The sequence below is a fragment of the Homo sapiens genome, chromosome 6, assembly GCF_000001405.40.
Source record: "Homo sapiens chromosome 6, GRCh38.p14 Primary Assembly".
Lineage (NCBI taxonomy): Eukaryota > Metazoa > Chordata > Mammalia > Primates > Hominidae > Homo > Homo sapiens.
Genome location: NC_000006.12, coordinates 135,653,705 through 135,673,874, shown reverse-complemented (window position 1 = coordinate 135,673,874; position 20,170 = coordinate 135,653,705). Strand labels below are relative to the sequence as shown.

Here is a 20,170-nt window from a genome sequence, read left to right as displayed (position 1 = left end):
ACTCTTGTGGTGTCTAATAATCTGTAGTGTCAAGCTGTTCTTCGCTATCTAAAGTAAATCTCTGCCAAGAGTTCATAAGAAGGCTTGTCTTATTTCTTTGGATGTCAAACAAATATTGCACTCGATAAATCTCTCAGTGTGTCTCTAGCCTCTGCAAGCATACATCAAAACCCAGTTAATTATAGACTTGTGGAAGCTGACCTTCTGACCCTCCATTTCTTGAATCCATCTGGGTGCGATGACTCTGGATCCAGACTGCACGAGCAATTCAACTTTTTAAACTCTCACCTAATCTTATTATACATTCTCTCCTTTGGGAGACTCATTCACCTACATGTTTTCAACCTCTGCCTATAACTGGGTGATGATGTCCAAATATCAATAGCTAGGCCTGACTCTATTTTGCACTCCTGACTTGCAGTTCCTAGTGGACATGTTTTTGGGGTTTTTGTTGTTGCTGTTGTTGTGGTTTTGTTTTGGTTTGTTTTGTTTTCGAGACAGAGCCTCGCTCTGTCGCCCAGGCTGGAGTGCAGCGGCATGATCTCAGCTCACTGCAACCTCCGCCTCCTGGGTTCAAGTGATTCTCCTGCCTCAGCCTCCCAAGTAGCTGGGACTACATGCATATGCCACCACGCCTGGCTAATTTTTTAATTTTAATACAGACGGGGTTTTACTGTGTTAGCCAGGATAGTCTAGATCTCCTGACCTCATGATCCGCCTGCCTTGGCCTCCTAAAGTGCTGGGATTACAGGCATGAAGCCACCGCGACCGGCCGTGGACATGTTTAATTAGGCTTCGCAGATAGCAGTGCTGGTCAAGATGAGCCTTATCTCTACCCTACACCTACTCTCTGCCAGTTTTGCTCACTGAGTATGCTGCCACCAGTGAGTACCCAGCAATCACCCTATGCCACTCCTCTCTCACCCCCACCAAATTGCCTCAGTCTCTGTGGCCTGATGTTTCTGCCATCTTAAAACCACTCAAAGCTGATGGTCTCCTCTCCTGCCTCCTGTGGCTTCCATCTAGCTACCTGAAATTACCATGGCAGAGACTGCAGTGCTCAGCAAGCACCCATCTGCTTCCCCCCCACCCCGTCTTCCAGCCTCCTGTGGTTAGGCAAAGCTACGGAATTGGCTGTGACTACAAAAAGAAATGGCATGTGTTACTTCCATTGTGAAGCATAAAGGAGCCACTGCAAACCCTTGCAGTTGTCTCTCCCCTGATGTGGTGACTAAAAAGGTCGTGTGTTGGAGATAGTGCAGTCAAAAGATGGCAGAGTCTGGTCCATGAGTGACACTGTGGAACAGACCCACCCCACCTCCCGCTGTCTTCTGTAGGGCATCCAGAAAGAGTGAGAGATACCCTCCTGTTGTGCTAAGCCACTGAAATGTAAGCATTGTTTGTTACTGCATCATAACCTAGCTTATGCTGACTAACATACTTACTGAGTTGTCTCCTCTTCTTCAAGACAGCCTTGCTTCAGTACGCTACACCACCTCAGACACCACAGTCTCTGCCATGGTAATGGAAGCCGCAGGAGGCAGGAGAGGAGACCGTCAACTTTGAGTGGTTTTAAGATGGCTGAAACGACATTTTATCATGTCACAAATACTTCATCACATGTCTTGCACAAAACTCTTCAGTAGCCCCTCATGTTAGGCAAACCATAAACCTGGAAGTCTCTTGCAGGTCTATGAAGGGCTTGTGATGGTCTGCCACAACTTGCCTTACAGCCTCACCTCCCAGTGGCCCTCAGAGCATCCCCGGCACTCTCTCCCCAGGCCCAGCTGTCTGCACATCCTGTAGGGAGCCTGTTTACTCACTTCTAGGTCCCAAAGCAGGCTGTGGCCTGTCTGTAACATTCTCTCCATCTTCACTCTCCTCTGTGGGCAAACTCCTGTCCCTCACACAGGACTGCAAGTCTCATCTCAGGTACATTTTATTTTACTATTTTATTTTATTGTGGTAAAAACACTTAACATGAGACTTACTGCTTAACAAATTTTAAACAGACAATACAGTATTGTTGACTCTAGGTACAATGTTGTACAGCAAATCTCTAGAGCTCATTCATCTTGCTTGACTGGAGCCTTATGCCTGTTGATTCATAACTCTCTATTCCCCCCTCCTGCTATTCCCTGGCAAACACCATTTCATTCTTTGATTCTATGAATCTGACTATTTTGGATACTTCATATAAGTGGAATAATGCAGTATTGGTCTTTCTGTGACTGGCTTATTTCACTTAGCTTGATGTCCTCCAGGTTCATCATGTCATTGCATATTATAGAATGTCCTTCCTTTTTAAGGCTGATAATATTTCAATGTATATATCGCATATTCTGTATCTATTCATCTGTCAATGGACATTTAGGTTATTTCTGCATCTTGACTATTGCGAATAGTGCTGCTGATATCTCTTTAAGATCCTGGTTTCAACTCTTTTGATAAATATCCAGAAGTGGAATAGCTGAATCATATATATGGAAGTTCTATTTTTAATTTTTTGAGGAATCTTCATAGTATTTTCTGTAGCAGCTTCACTATTTTGCATTTCCACCAACAGTGTGCCAGCGTTCCTATTTCTCCACATCCTCATCAGTACATTTTGTCCTTTTTTTTTTTTTGATGATATCCATCTGGACAGGTGTGAAGTAAAATCTCATGGTGGTTTTTATTTGCATTTTCCAAATGATTTGTAACATTGAGCATTTTTTCTTATATTTGTTGGCCATTTGTATCTTCTTTGGAGAAATGTCTATTCAAAACCTTAGCTCATTTTTAAATCAGGTCATGTGGTTTTTTTGCTATTGAATTATAGAAGTTCCTTATATATTTTGGAGATTAGTCCTTTATCAGATAGATGGTTCATGGATATTTCTTTCATTTCATCAATTGCCTTTTCACTCCGTTGATTGTTTCCTTTGCTGCACAGGAGCTTTTTAGTTTGATGTAGTCTCATGTTGTTTTTGTTTTTGTTGATAGTGTTTTTCGTGTTATATCCATGAAGTCATTGCCAAGACAAAGTCATAAAGTTTTTCCCTATGTTTTTCTTGGAGTTTTACAGTTTTGGGTCTTAGGTTTAAGTTTCTAATATATTTGATTTGATTTTGTATATAATAGAAAGGTACAATTTCATTCTTTTGTGTGTTTCCCAGTACCATTTGTTGAAGAGAAAAGCCTTTCTCCGTTGTGTATTCTTGGCACCCTTGTCAAAGATCAGTTGACCATATATGTGTGAATTTATTTCTGGGTTCTCCATTCTGTTCCACTGGGCAGTATGTCCATCTTTATGATAGTATATACTCTTAATTACTGCAGCGTTGTAATGTAATTTGAAATCAAGAAGTGTGAGGCCTCCAACTTTGTCCTTCTTTCTTGGGATTGCTTTAGCTATTGGTGGTCATCAGTGGTCCCATATGAGTTTTGAAATTGTTTTTTTCTTTTTCTGTAAAAACAGAAAATTGGGATTTTGATAGGTATTTCACTGAATCTGTAGATTGCTTTGGACATTTTTCAGATACATTTTTTTTATGTGGATGCCATTCCTGACTCCAATAGGCAGAGGTAACTCCACCTAAAACCAAACTCCACAGTACTCTGTACTGAGCTCTAGAACATGTCACATGAAAAGTCTCATAGTTCCTTTTTTTCTTCTGTTCCCTTCATTCTTTACTCCCCTGTATTTTTGTCTATTGCATTGTTACCACTAGCTTCCAGCAACACAAAATGCATCATAGTGAATACCACAGAAAGAAACAACTAACAAAACAAATTAAAGACAAAAAGCAACACTAAAGCTTTTACTAACTGCATTTTACAAAATAATTCAAAAAGTTGCATTCTTTTCTTTTCAACTCAACTTATTGAAAATAGGAAATGTGCTTCTTGTAGATACAACAGAGTAATTCCATGTATATTAAGATATTGAGTTCATTTCTTTTTAATGATTGAGTATAATTATACAGGAGAAAGGACCTGCAGGAAAAGAGGAATTAAGTTAAAGTCTAAATTTGTATCTGACTATCATTGCTACTGATGTGCAGGCAAAGCCCAAGCAATTACCATTCCCTACATCTAAAATTAACGTCTTCAAAATTTTCATAATGATGTTTTAAGCTTGATAGTGTGGAATATTACTGGCTTTATTTTAACTTGAATGCTTTCTATTTTCTTAATTATCATGATTGTTTTTATTAAAGAAAAAACTTAGTTTAATAAAATAAATTAAATTTTGTTAAATTTTGATCCATTACAAAAATATTTTATACTTTTTAATGAATATGCATAGAAAGTGTCATGTAAACATTTTAAGAAATGGATTAATTTTTTGTATTGTTTCTGATTAAATGATTATGGAAACTATAACAAAGAAATCAATTCTTCCTCTGCTTTAATTTTCTGACCAGGCACTTCTAGGAATTCTTATATAGGGATTCTTAAAGTTGATTGCTTTCAGCTAGAAAATGGAAAAGTCTCTGAAACTAAATGACTTTATAACTTGAAAAATGTTTAAAGACTCAAAGAGCTGTGATTTTTAAAATTTCTTCTCGTGTTTGGCTCCAAAGCAAATGCACACAAAACTTCCAAAATCTAAAGAAACAGGGAAAAGACCAATTTATAAATTAAAATTGGTCGATGTCCATTAATCAGTCTAGAAATGAGCTGATAAGTGATAGGACTAGTTAAAATTAAATCATATCAGAATATGTGGAAAATTCTAAACTTTACTGTGGGGAGGAAGTGGGGCAGGAAGTAGACTCAAATGGTAAAGTTGCCCTTAATTATTGGTTCTGCAATCTAAATGTGTCTATTTATTTTTGTAGACACCTATTCTTTCATTAAGCAGAAATTTATTGATCATCTGTATTATATAAAACATTGCATTAGTTGTCAGTTTAAGTAACACCCGATCTAGTTCCAGCTTAAATGTATAGGAATTGATGAAACTTTACTCTATAAATGCTTAAATTTTTGAATACTTTGACTAAGATCATGCAAAAATATGTATATATATTTTTTGCACTATATATATAGTGCAAAATATGTATATATATTTTTTGCACTATATATAGTGCAAAATATGTATATATGTATTTTGCAGTATATATATAGTGCAAAATATATATAGTGCAAAAAAGATATATATATTATATATATAATATATATTATATATATAATATATATATATATATATACCAGTAAAAAAGCTAGTGATGCTCAGTGATTCTATTTGCTGGGTGGGCATGATATTCCTTGTCCTCCACGTCTCATCCATTGAACTGTAATTTACAAACCTTCTCATTAGCTTGGACCATTTTGGCAAGGATTTGATTTGGCAGCTTCACATACAGCCTTTTTCCGCCCTTGAAAATATAATAGAGCACTCTGTAGCCATAACGTTACCAGCTTTCACAACCCACATGAAATACGCGAGTACAAATGTAAACAAGGTGGAAGGAGCTGGAAGGGCAGGGGAGTGAGTATTGGGAAGAGCGTATCCCTGGGTTTCCTCTGTTGTTCAGAAGCGCAGGCACAGGAAAGAGCCTCAGGCAGTGTGGAGACGGAGGGAGGGTGCCAGTTGGCCTCACAGTTCAAGTGTGGAGTCAGAGGGTTCGTGGAGATCTACATCCTCTGGAATCCCACAGCTCATTATGCAGTCCCCTCACGTGGCTTTCCTTATGCTCTGTTTTCCTCATTTCAGTGTGAAGGAAACCAACGCTAAAAATGTGTGCTGCATATCACATAAACTTTATTTCTTCCTGATTTATGCTCTTTTCTCTCTGAGGAAGATGGAATGTGGCTTGGTTCTCTGATTCATTTCCCTTAAACTCTCTGTTCTCTGCCAGGTTAACCCCGGGAAGGGTCATGACAGGTGCAGCTACACTGGTTCATGTTATTCTGTACCTTGTCACCTTCATTTCCCTTTTGAGTCGTGTTTTGTTGGTTCCACTTTAAATTATGAAATGGATTGCTCCCTGGAGTGCATGACATCATTAACTTTTAATGGATGTGACATGGAAATTAAATGCTTTTAAACCCTTCTGAAACGTAGTCAGACAGATCCGTTACCACATTGAATCCATTTCTAGTAAAACATTTAATTTAAAAATTTGTAGCAATGTGTCAGTAAATGGCAGGCTTCCAGCTAGTTCTTGTGGAAACCACACATTTTGGGGGGTAAAAAATGTGTGGACAGTAATACAAGATGCTCTTGTCAACCTGATCATCCTCCAGTTGTATACAACATACTCACATCTGGTTCTGGAGGATAGAAAATGGTATCTCTTTTCCTTTTTCATAGCTCTAACATCTGGCGGAGTATCTAGGGTACAGTGGGTGCCTAGTAAATGTTGACTGTAAGAATGAACTACTAAATGATTGAACATATAAATTTGAATACTCACTTATAGATGACTGAAATGATAAAAGATTCTCTTTTTTCATATTCTCAAGGTAAGCACTGTAAAATGATAAAGTGTTTTCTTCTTCCAGAGAATGAGAACACACAGTTGAATATTTGCCATCTCTCTGGTCTCTCTGGATAAAACCTCCTCTGGCTACCTCTCTGATTTAATCTCCTGCTGCTTCCACCCCAACCCCTTAACAGTTCCAGGTCCCCCCACCTCTATCCTATTCCCTGTAAATATGCCAAAGACTTTCACACCCAGAGCCTTTGTCCTCCAGTTCTCCTGTCTGGGATGCCCTTCCTTCACTATCTCCCTGCCATGCTTCCTGGCTTCAATGAGGGCTCTGGTCAACCGTAACCTCAAAGACGTCATCTTTAATCATCCTAATTAAAAAGCACACTTTTCCAATCCTCTTCTTGCCAGTAGTGTTGCCATGTGACATCATATATATTTATTTGCTTATTTTCTGCCCTTCCGCTAGGGTATTCACACCATGAGAACAAGAACTTGTCTATTTTCTTCATTGTGTATCCTCCCTCAGTGTCCAGAAGAGTGCCTGTCAATAAATATTTGGAAAATGAATAAACAAATTTAGAACATATTTGGCTAGCAAGAGGTTTAATTGGAAGGTAGAGCCTATGGTGGAAAGAAAATTAGCTTGGGGTGAAAAGGATTCAGTTCTATAATGTCACTTACTAATGGAGACCTTGGACAAATTATTTGACTTCACTAAGTCTCAGCTTCCCCCTCAATAAAAAAGGCATGGTAGCCTCTGTGTTGAGAAAACATAAGGAAACAGCAGCTTCAGAAATGATCAAGACAGAAACAGACAGCTACATACATTGATCATGAAGCTAAGGAGCATGCAGCCATGATTAGCTGGGGTTGAAGAATACTAGGTTAGTTGAAGAGTGACATTTCTAAAAGTCTGTATCTTATCTACAGTTTGGAATCTATTTCTCAGTTTCCTTCAAAGCAATTAATTATTATAGCAAATTAATTCAAATTGTCAATGAAAATTTAAAAATTGCAAAGACATTCAGAAAACTTCAAAAGGTCCTTGATTTCACTTAGAAACAAGAATTGCAGGACAAATTTTTCCCTTGCTGTCTCCCCTGAATCCCTTCTCCAATTCTCCTACACCTTTCCATGTATTCTGGAGGGGTTTCCAGTCAAGGACTTCCTTTTTCCACTAAGAAACTGGCTTGTGACCCTGGTTGGCCAGCTGGCATCATTTAATCTGGGACTGATTTAATCACTGGTAAAAAAGCAGGTTTCTTTCCTTCCACGATGACTATGCATTCAGTTAGCCTTATTTTTCACCACACGGAAAGGACCAGTTTAACTAGAAATGATGCCAACACAGAGAAGTAGAGTTTAGAGACACAGAGAGAAAACGTCCTGATGACATCTAAACGTGTCTGAAGTTAGCTCCTCTACCTTTTATACCTGGACTTTTCAAGGAATGTGAACCAACAAATTATCTTGTCTTTAAGTAAGCTAGTTTGAATTGTAAGAGGTCTAACAAATATAGGAGGATATGGGGAAACAGGAGAGAACAAGACAGGACTTGATCCAAAACACAGAAGCAAGAGGGTGAAAAAAATGTTGCACTAATCCCTGCATTTCATAAAAGAAAAGTTTTTCACACCTACCTACTCATATCCCAAGTCCCTATTTTCATCAGGTTCTTACCTCCAACCCTGGCCAGGGGAACCCCAGTAGTAGCTTGGGGCTGAAGAAATCCCAAATTTCACTAACAGGTAAGGAGTGATGCGGGGATAGAGGTTCCAGCACCATTACTAGTCAGCAAGAAGGGAGTCATGTTCCTGTCACCCAGGTTGGACTCTCTCTATATTTATACACAGAATCACAAATACCTAAACAGATGGGTTCTGAAATACTATTAGTACAAGTCAATTGGGCTCAACAAGCAAACAGGATACTTATAAGCAAACAATTGAAACACTTCATTCCTAAATTGAAGATTGTTGATAATTTTTACCAGTATAAACGTGTGTATGAGTGTGCACGTGTGTGTGTGTGTGTGTGTGTGTGTGTGTGTGATGTATATGATTATTCATTCTTAGTTACAAAAGAGTAACACTTTTCAAAGTGTGGTACAGGGAACCCTGGGGGCCCCTGACACACCTTCAGAGGGCCCATAACAATTCTAAGACATTATTTGCCTTTTTCACTCTCATTTTTAGGGAGGGATATTATCCATGTATTTTAATTGAGATAAAATATACATGACATAAAACTTACCATTTTATTCATTTTAATTGTACAGTTCAGTGGCATCAAGTACATTCACACTGCTGTATAGCCATGTGATTGATTTTTAATATCAGCTTTACTGAGGTACAATTTATATAGGCTAAAGTTGACCAACTTTAGGTATACGTCTGGTGAGTTTTGATCAATGTATGTAGCTGTGCAATCACCACAACGACCAAGGTATAGGATATTTCCATCACCCCCCAAAGTTCATTTGTGCCCTTTATAGGTAACCCCTTCTTTCCTGGCTGTGAGCATCCACAGACCTGCTTTCTCTCACTATACTTACACGCTTTCTAGAATTTCACATAAAAGAATTATACAGTACGTATCTTTTACGTCTGGCTTCTTTCACTTAACAGAAATGAAATTTATCCATGTTGTTATGTGTATCAGTATTTTGTTCTTTTTTTGTTACTGAATAGTATTCCATTGTATGGATTTACCACAGTTTGTTTATCCATTTATCTTCTATAAGACATTTGAGTTGTTTCCAGTTTGTGGCTAGAATGAAGCTTCTGGAACAAACTGTTGTACAAAAATATGCTTTCATTTATCTTGGATGAATACCTAGAAGATGGATGACTGGGGCATATGGTAAATATATGTTTGACTTTATAAAGAACTGCTAAACTGTATTCCAAAATAACTGTTCCATTTTGTATTTCCACCATCAATGTGTGAAAATTACATATGGTCTACATCCTTCTCAACACTAACTAGTTTTTTTAATTTTTTAATTAATTTATGTTTTTAATTGACACATAAGAATTGTACATATTCGTGGGGCACATATTGATGTTTTGATATATACAATGTTTAGTGATCAGATCAGGGCAATTAGCATATCCATCATCTCAAACATTTATCACTTCTTTGTGTTGGAAACATTTAATATTCTCTCTTCTAGCTACTTCTAAATATATATTATGGTTAATTATAGTCATTCCACAGTGCTATCAAACATTAAAACTTATTCCTTCTTTCTAGCTGTAATTTTGTATACTTTAACAAATCTCTTCTCATCTCCCCTTTTCCCCTACACTTCCCAGCTTCTAGTAACCTCTCTTCTACTTTTTACTTCCAAGAACTTTTTTTGTTGTTCCCATATAGAAATGAGATCATGTGATGTTTAACTTTCTGTTTCTGGCCTATTTCACTTAATATGATGTCCTTCAGTTCCAGCCATGTTGCCATGCATGACAAGATTTTATTCTTTTTAAAGGCTGAATAGTATTCCATTGTGTATATACCACATTTTCTTAATTTATTCATCTGTTGTTGGACACTTGGATTGACTTTATATCTTGGCTATTGTGAATAGTGCTACAATAAACATGATGGTGCAGAAGTCTTTTCAATATAATAATTGTCTTTCCTTTCAATAAGTACCCAGTTGTGGGCTTGCTGAATCATATAGTAGTCCTATTTTGATTTATTAGAAGAACCTCCATACTGTTCTCCGTAGTGGCTGTACTAGTTTACATTCCCACCAACAGTGTGTAAGAAATCCCTTTCCTCCACATCCTGGCTGGCATTTGTCATTTTTTGTCTTTTTGATAACAGTCATCTTACTTGGGATGAGATGATATCTCATCGTAGTTCTAGTTTTGTTTCCCTGATGATTAGTGATGTTGAATACTTTTTCATGTATGTGTTGGTCATTTGTCTATCTTCTTTTGAAAATTATCTATTCAGATAGTTTGCCCATGTTTTGATTGGAGGTTTTTTGTTTGCCATTGAGATCTTTGAGTTTCTTGCATATTCTGAATTTCAATCTCCTGTGAGATGAATAGTTTGAAAAAATATTCTCCCATTCTGTTGGTTGTCTCTTTCACTCTGTTGATTGTTTACTTTGCTGTGCAGAAGGTTTTTAGTTTGAGACAATTCCATTTGTTTACTTTTGCTTTTGTCCCTTGTGCTTTAAAGGTCTTATTCACAAAATATTTTCCCAGACAAGCATCCTGAAGCATTTCCCCTGTTTTCTTCTAGCAGTTGTATAGTTTCAAGTTTTACATTTAGCTCTTAACCCATTTTGAGTTGGTTTTTGTATATAGTGAGAGACGGGGATCTGATTTTATTCTTCTGCATATGGATATCCAGTTTTTCCAGCACCATTTATTGAAAGAGTGTCTTTTTCCCAATGAATGTTCTTTGCACCTTTGTCAAAAATCAGTTGGCTTTGTATATGTCAATTAATTTCAGGGTTCTGGGTTCTGTTTCATTGGTCTATGTGTCTGTTTTTAATGCCAGTACTATGTTGCTTTGGTTACTATAGCTTTATAGTATATTTTGAAGTCTGGTAATGTGATGCCTTCAGCTTTGTTATTTTTGCTTAGGATTGCTATGGCTATTCAGGGTATTTTGTGGTTCCATACAAATGTTAAGATTTTTTTTCTATTTCTTTGAAGACTATCATTGGTATTTTGATAGGGATTGCATTAAATATATAGATCACTTTGGATAGTATGGTCATTTTAACATATTAATTTTTCCAGTCTATGAATTTGGGATGATTTGGGATGTCTTTCCTTTTTTGAGTGCACTTCTTTAATTTCTTTCATCTGTGTTTTATAGTTTTCCTTGTGAAATCTTTCACCTCTTTGGTTAAATTTGTTCCTGGGTAATTTGTATTTGTAGCAATTGGAAATGAAATTACTCTCTTCATTTGTTTGTCAGCTAGTTTATGTGTGAAACACTACTGATTTTTACATGTTGATTTTGTACCCTGCAACTTTACTGAATTTGTTTATCAATTCTAAGAGTTTTTTGGTACAGCCTTTAGGATTTTCTATATATAAGATCATGGCATCTGCAAACACAGGCAATATGACTTCTTCCTTTCCAATCTGGATGCCCTTAAATTCTGTCTCTTGCCTAATTGTTCTGGCTAGGACTTCTAGTGCTATACTGAATAAGAGTGGTAAGAGTGGCTTGTCTTGTTCCAGTTGTTCCCTGTCCAGTATGTTGTTAGCTATGGGTTTGTCACATATGGCCTTGATTGTATTGAGGTATTTTCCTTCTATTACCTAGTTTATTGAGAGTTTTTATCATGAAGAAATGTTGAATTTTATTAAATGCTCTTTTGGCATCTAATGAGATGATATATGGTTTTTGTTCCTCATTCTATTATTGTAATGGATCATGTTTATTGATTTGTGTATGTTGAACCATCCTTGCATCCCTGGGATAAATCCTACTACATCACGGTGTTTGAAATTTTTGTGTGCTGTTTGATTCAGTTTGCTAGTCTGTTGTTGAGGATTTTTACATGTATATTCATCAGGGGTATTGGTCTGTAGTTTTCTTGTTTTGTTGTGTCCTCATCTGGTTTTGGTATCATGGTTATGCTGACCTCATAGAATGAGTTTGGAAGAATTCTCTCCACTTCAAATTTTTGGAATAGTTTGAGAACAATTGGTATTTGTTCTTTAAAAGTTTGGTAGACAGCATTGAAGCTCTCTGGTTCTGGGCGTGTCTTTATTGGGAGACTTTTTATTATGGATTCAATCTTGTTACCCATTATGGGTAAGTTTAAGTTTTCTCTGTCTTCTTGGTTCAATCTTGGTAGGTTGTATGTGTCCAGAAATTTATTCATTTTCTCCCTCTTTTCAAATTTAGTGGTATATAGTTATTCATAATAGTTTCTAATGATCGTTTGTATTTCTGTGGCATCAGTTGTGATGTCATTTTTTTCAGATCTGATTTCATTTATTTATTTGGGTCTTCTCTCTTTTCTTAGTCTAGCTAATAGTTTGTCAATTTTGTTTATCTTTTCATAAAGCAACTTTTTGTTTCACTGAGTTTTTTTCTATTTGGTTAGTCTCGATTTTATTTATGCTCTGAACTTCATTATTTCTTTTTTTCTGCTAATTTTGAATTTAGTTTGTTCTTGCTTTTCTAATTCCTTGAGGTATATCATTAGGTTGTTTACTTGAAATCTTTCTTTTTTATGTAAAAATTTATTGCTATAAACTTGCCTCTTAATACTATGTTTGCTGTGCCCCATAGGTTTTGGTATGTTGTGTTTCTATTTTCGTTTGTTTCAAGGAATGTTTACATTTCCTTCTTAATTTCTTCCTTCACTCATTGGTTGGACAGGTGCTTTTTGTTTCATTTACATGTATTTGCACAGTTCCAAATGTCCCATGGTCCTCTTATTATTTATTTCTAGGTTTTTTTCATTGTGGTCAGATAAGATACTTGATGCGATTTATTTTTAAAAAATTTTTTGAGATCACTTTTATTCTTTCACAAAGAATGAGTGGAGTTTTCCAGGGGCCTAATGAGGTGTAATAGCACAACAGTTAAATAAAGAAGTAATATGAGAATTTAGCTATCTCCTATCAAACTAGATGTTAATGAGATTTTTTCAAAAATGCCACTCTTTGAAAAATATAGTTATTTTCACAAGAGATATGTTATTGATATTTATATAAAATGGTTTATTATTATTTTAAAATGCGTAATACTTTTTTAAATTCTCTCAATTTTAATTTCTGAAATATTGATAGATATAACCTATAAAAATAAAATTTCTTTGAGGCCCTTAATAATTTTTAAGAGTGTAAAGGGCTCCTGAGACTAAAAAGTTTGAAAAGATTAATCAGCTTAAAATATACTTAGGCACATGTTGTAATAACTGAAAATTGCAAAAATTTGTTATCAAATCTAAACTCTATTTCTTAAAAGTCTGAAAACAGTGGTAATCCCCAGAAAGGAATTCTTATTATAATGTAGTAAAATGAATATTTGATATGATTTTACATTGATTTCAAAGTGTCTACAAGAGAAAATATTTATTTGCTACACAATGTTATCGTTAGTACACTTATACTCATCAAAAAAGACACTATGTTATCATTATCATTTCCCATTTGAGGAAGCCAGGCCTTTTTATTTGGTTGGTGCAAAAGTAATTGCAGGCCAGGCACGGTGGCTCACGCCTGTAATCTCAGCACTTTAGGAGGCTGAGGCAGGTGGATTACCTGAGGTCATGAGTTCGAGACCAGCCTGGCCAACGTGGTGAAATCCCGTCTCTACTGAAAATACAAAAATAAGCAGGGTGTGGTGGCGGGTGCCTGTAATTCCAGCTACTCAGGAGGCTGAGGCAGGAGAATCGCTTGAACCTGGGAGGTGGAGGTTTCAGTGAGCTGAGATCGTGCCATTGCACTCCAACCTGGGCAACAAGAGCGGAAACTCTGTCTCAAAAAAAAAAAAAAAAAGTTGCGGTAATCGAATCGCAGTGTGCTCTAAAGTAGGTGTTGGCAAACTTTTTTTTAAAGGGTCAGATAATAGATATTTTCAGCTTTACAGGCCATGTGATCACTGTCTCAGCTGCCAACTCTGCCCTTATAGTATGATCGCTGCCAAAGGCAAAATGTAAACCAAGGAGTGTGATTGTGTTCCAAAAAAACTTGACTTATAAGCACCGATATTTGGATTTTACAGAATTCTCATGTGTAATGAAATATTCTTCTTCTTTTGGTTTTAAACATGTAAATACATAAAGACTGTTCTTAGCTTGTAGGCAGTACAAAAACAGGTGGCAGGTTGGATTTAGTCTGCAGGCTATAGTTTGCTGACTCCTGTTCTAAAGTATGTTCTATAGAACTCTAATCATTTGAGACACAGAATTTCCTGAGTAAATAAGCTTGAGAAATGTTGCAGTGGAGGTTCAAACTGCATATTATGATATAAAGCCTCTGTAATATCCTCCCCCCAAATTTCTTTTGTTTCACTGTTTATCATGCCAACGCATCACAGAAACTTTTTTTATTTTTTCAAATAATACCTGTTAATCATTCTTACATTACTGTTCCATGGAATTTATGTTGGGAATTATTACTCTTAAGGATTCCAGACTCAAATGCCTATAGATACTATGCATAACACCTCTGTATTATCTTCTCCATGTGAAAAAATAGCTGCTAACTGCTCACACCTGCCCAATAACATTGCCTTTTAATCATCCACAGGACAAACAAAATAACCAACAAAACATATCTTCTGTCTAGACACAGCCCTCAGATACCAATTTGCAACTGTTAGTATGTGGTATATTATAGGAAATGACATCACTGTTTCAAGATTCAATACAAAAAGGAAGGTATTTTGGACAGGTTGCTTCTCTTTACATGAATGATTCCGTATTATATGCAGCTGCATCCTCAGGGAATAATCAGAGAATAACATAAAAAAGAGAAGGTACCATAAGTTTGCTTTTGCTTTTGCCATTACATAGCTGATCCTACGTGATTTTCAGGATGATGTTTCCCAAATTTTGTACAAATGAATTCCCTCTGGAATCTTGTTAAAACGCAGATTCTGATTCTATGGATCTGGAGTAGGATCCGAAAGTCTGCCTTTCTAACAGGCTCCAGGTTATGCTGGTATCTGTGGATTCAGGTTCAGAAAGGGACTTTTTGCATTGCACAAATTCAGTGAAATTAAATGACCTACAGGATAGAACCTGCATGTTCACAAGATCCCCAGGGGACTCGTATGCATACACAAGTCTGAGAAACACTGCAATAGAGCCAATTTCCATGAATGAATGTTCCCAATGCATTGAAGAATCCATCCAGCTTTACTAAAGAATTCTCTAGTAATAGTGAAATACAATCTGAAAGTCTTTGAATAAATAAGGAAAGGAGAGAACAGAATTCCCTTCTAAGACTGTCTGTGGGCATTGCTTCACCTTGAAGAGCCTAGAAATGACTGATAAGTTAGCCTTTGCCTAACATCTACCAATGAATCCACATTCACATCCAGGAAACAAAAGGAAATGCAGAGCGAGAGTTTAGAGGTAAGTTATTTAAAAAACTGATTTCAGAGACTGGCAAAAAGAACTACATAATAGAGCCACAACATTTCATTTCAAAAATGCTAAGATTCGGTGACAATATTCTCATTGATGAAAACTATTAGGATCACCGTAATGGGTAATCAGTTAAGCCACACCCTACACCCTGCAGCACATCCTTTAGCAGCTGACATGAAATGAATAAGTTTTACTTCATTTTTCTAGTGAACTCATGACCTTCTTTGGGTGATGCCTCTCTTTATATCCCTCCAGAAGTGTTTGGTACTTATCATCTGGTCCACTATTTTAAGAGGGTCAACACACTTCAGATCCGAACAGTAGAGAACATATTTAATGGTCTGATCATTATCCTTGGTTGACCCTGAGCTGTTATTCTGCATGAGATCGTAATTTAAAGGCTTGGTGCTCTCCCTCCCAACTAGAGATTATAAAATAGGGACACACACCCAGAATGGCTTATGGATATTATACATGGCAAATGTATGTAAACCAGAAACCATATGAGGATACTTAATATTTATCAAATGAGCTCAAGAATATCAGATTTATGTTCTGAATAGAAGAATTGTAATTTGTGTGATTATTGTCCTAATTTTGGGGGTGACAACTGTAACAATCCTTGGACTCAGGAATGCAGTATCTTAAATTTTTTATTTTATTTGAGGGGAAGTAAAAGGGAGATTGAGAAGGGCATTATGTGTATAATCCAAGTATTAAAAATCATCAAGAAGTGTTTGGGACACCATGCTAAGGCACTGAGGGGAAAATGCGAAAACAAAACAGGTTTTTGTTGATAACACTGAAAGTTCAAGAGTGGAACCAAGAAGACTGAGCTCTTTAAAAGTGGTCACTTATGTTAAACAAAGGCACCTACTTGAATGGAAGAGAGCAGCACAATTACATTTGGCTCTGAGTCCAACCTGGCAGAGTGATGCCTTTAGAGGGCACTTGAGCCCTGGAAAGTGTTCCCTGGGCACCGCATGAAGGGAGGAACCTGGTACATTCCCTTTGTTCACAGACCTAGCTTCCTAAATCACCCAACTCTATTGCTACCTTTGTCTGTATTTCCTTTTTTTTTTTTTTCCATACTTTGGCTACAGGCCTAGCTTCCTCTCCAACCTCCCATCACAATTACATTTTTATCCTTAAACTTAAGGCACATTCAATCTCTTCTGGCTATTACTGTGGCCACTCATGACAACAGTGTTACTTCATTTTTCCAGTGAACTCATGACCTTCTTTGGGTGATGCCTCTCTTTATATCGCTCCAGAATTGTTTGGTACTTATCAGCTGGTCCACTTTTTTAAGCAGGGTAAACACACTTCAGATCTAATTAGAAGAGAATACATTTAATAGTCTGATTAATATCCTTGGTTGACCCTGAGCTTACGTTCCACATCTTTTCATGAATATTTTCAGCTGTGTTTCTGTTCTCTCCAACACTAGATCCTTTCTTATTTGGGGGAAGATCTTCTTTTGCTTTTTTAACTTTCACAAAAGTTAAAGTCCTATATTTACCAAAAACTTCCCAAATTTTGATGATTGAATGACTCTTAAGAAAGAAAAAATGTATATTGAATGCCATCCATGTGCCCAGATTGATAATAGTTGCATAGGCTTTATGACTTCAAAATATACTACAAAGCTATAGTAACCAAAACAGCATGGTACTGACACAAAAACAGACACATAGACCAATGAAAAAGAATAGAGAACTCAGAAGTAAATCCAGACATGTACAACCAAATCATGTTTAACAAAGGCACCAAGAATATATAAGGGAAAGAACAGTCTCATCAATAAATGGTGCTGTAAAACTAGATATCTAAATGCAAAAGAAATCAGAAATTTGAAATCAGATTTCTTTCTCTCATAATATATAAAAATAAAATCAAAATGGATTAAAGACTTAAATGTAAGACCTGAAGCTGTGAAACTACTAGAAAAAACACTGGGGAAAGGCTTCAGGACATTGGTCTGGGCAAGCATTTCTTGGGTAAGACCTCAAAAGCACAGGCAACAGAAGCAAAAATAGACAAACGGGATTATACCAAACTAAAAATTTTCTGCACGGAGAAGGAAACAATCAACAGAATAAAGAGACAATCTATAGAATGGGAGAAAATATTATCAAACTATATGTCTGATATGGGGTTGATATCTAAAATATTTAAGGAACTCAACTCAGTAGCAAGAAAACAAATGACCTGATCAAAAAGTGGGCAAAGGACCTGGATGAACATTTCTCAAAAGAAGACATACAAATGGCCAACAGGTATAATAAAAAACGATCAACATCACTAATCATAAGGAAAATGCCTATCAAAACCACAATAAGATATTATCTCACCCCAGTTAAAATGGCTATTATTCATATGAAAAAGACAAATAATAACAAACGCAAGTGGGATGCAAAGAAAAGGGAACTCTTACACTGTTGATAAGAATGCAAATTAGTACAGCCATTATAAAAAACAGTGTGATGTTTCCTCAAAAAACTCCAAATAGAAATACCATATGATCAAGCAACCCCACTACTGGGTATGTGTCCAAAGGAAATGAAATCAGTATGTCAAAGAAATATTTGCACTCTCATGTTTATTGGAGCACTATTCACAATAGCCAAGATATAAAATCATCCTAACTGTCTATCAAAGGATGAATGGATAAAGAAAATGTGGTATATATACACAATTGAATAATATTTAGGCATAAAAATAATAAAATCTTGTCATTTGAGGCAGCATGAATGAGCATGATGGAACTCATGCTGAATGAAATAAAGCAGGCACAGAAAGACAAACATCACATTTTCACTTTACATGTGGGGGCTAAAAATTTTTTTAAGCCTTTCAGGTTTAAAGATTACATTTTCAACCTTAATTACAAAATCCTGTATACACAAGAAAGTTTTTCCCTATTAGTCAATATATAATGTTTTATACAATCTCACACAGCTTCAGCTTATTTTAAAGAGAAAGCCAGTTATTTCTTATAAGAAGCAAAGCTTTATATGAATAAGTCAGCTCTAAATATGTGAATTAATAAAGATAGATTGCTAAGGCATATATTGCTCACTTACTGCTTTTGGTTTCACCAAAACAGCATATTATGCATTTTCCAAAACCCACAGAATGTACAACACTTAGAGTTAACCCTAATGTAAACTATAGAACAAAGCCAACTATGAAACTGTTTTCCCATTTCATTTGTAACCTAGTTGAATAATGTCAGTACTCCAACTTCACTCAATATTTTGTTGTCTATTTCAGGTTATTTGCCTCTCCACAGAAACTTTGGAATCTGTTTGTTGATACCTGCAAAATAACTTGTCAGGATTTTAATTGGAATTTCATTGAATCTGTAGATCAATGTGGGAGGAAATGACATCTTAACAATATTGACTCTTCCTTGCATGGACATGAAATATCTCTTAATTTATCTCTTTTTTTTTTTTTTTTGATGGAGTCTCGCTCTGTCACCCAGGCTGGAGTGCAATGGTGCGATCTCGACTCACTGCAACCTCCACCTCCCGGGTTCAAGCTATTCTCGTGTCTCAGCCTCCCGAGTAGCTTGGATTACAGGTGCACACCACCATGCCCAGCTAATTTTTGTATTTTCAGTAGAGACGGGGTTTCGCCATGTTGGTCATGTTGGCCTTGAACTCCTGACATCATGTGATGCACCTGCCTCAGCCTCCCAAAGTGCTGGGATTACAGATGTGAGACATCACACCTGGCCTTCTCTCCATTTATTTAGTTCCTTGATTTTTTTTTCCATCAGAGTTATGTAGTTTTTTTTCATATAGATCTTGTACATATTTTGTTGGATGTGTACTTAACTATTTCATTTTGGGGATGCACTAATCTGAAAGGATTTTTGTCTTTAATTTCAAATTCCACTTTTTCATTTCTGGCATATGGAAAAGACATTAAATTTTGTACATTAACCTTGTATCCTGCAATCTTGCTATAATCACATATCAGTTCCAGGAATTGTTTTGTTGATTTCTTCAGATTTTTTACCTCGACAATCATATTATCCATGAACAAAGACTGTTTTATTTATTTCTTCTCGATCAATATATCTTTTATTTCCTTTTCATGTCTTATTGTGTTAGCTAGGATTTCCAGTAAAATGTAAGAAGTGGTGAGAAGGAACATCCTTGTCTTGTTCCTGATCTGAGTAGAAAAGCTTTTAGTTTCTTGCCATTAAGTCTTATGTTAGTTGTAGGGGTTTTGTAGATGTTCTTTATCAGGATGAGGGAGTTCCCCTCTAAAATTCTAGCTGAGTTTTTATTACAAATAGGTGTTGTATTTTGACAAATGCTTTTTCTGCATCTCTTGATATAACCATGTCATTTTTCTTCCTTAGTCTGTAGATGTGATGGATTGCAGTAATTGATTTTCAAATTTGAGCCAACCTTGCATACCTGGGATAAATCCCACTTAGTCATGGAATATAATTATTTTTATACATTGCTTGATTCAGTCTGCTAATATTTTGTTGAGGACTTTTGTGTCTATATTCATAAGAAATATTGATCTTTTCTCATAATGTTTTTGTCTGATTTTGACATTATGGTGAAGCTGGCCTCATAGAATGAGTTAGTAAATATTCCATATGCCTCTATATTTTAGAAAAGACTGTAGA

General features: G+C 36.2%; 1 long non-coding RNA gene across 4 annotated transcripts in view; it reads right to left on the bottom strand.

Annotated features, from left to right (window-relative positions):
* Positions 1-20,170, bottom strand: part of AHI1-DT (AHI1 divergent transcript) — a 218,255-nt gene that overhangs the window by 42,181 nt on the left and 155,904 nt on the right. For all 4 annotated transcript variants that reach the window (NR_152842.1, NR_152844.1, NR_152845.1 and 1 more), the window contains one exon: positions 1,446-1,581. This is a non-coding gene — a long non-coding RNA (AHI1 divergent transcript). The remainder of the gene's footprint in view (positions 1-1,445; positions 1,582-20,170) is intronic.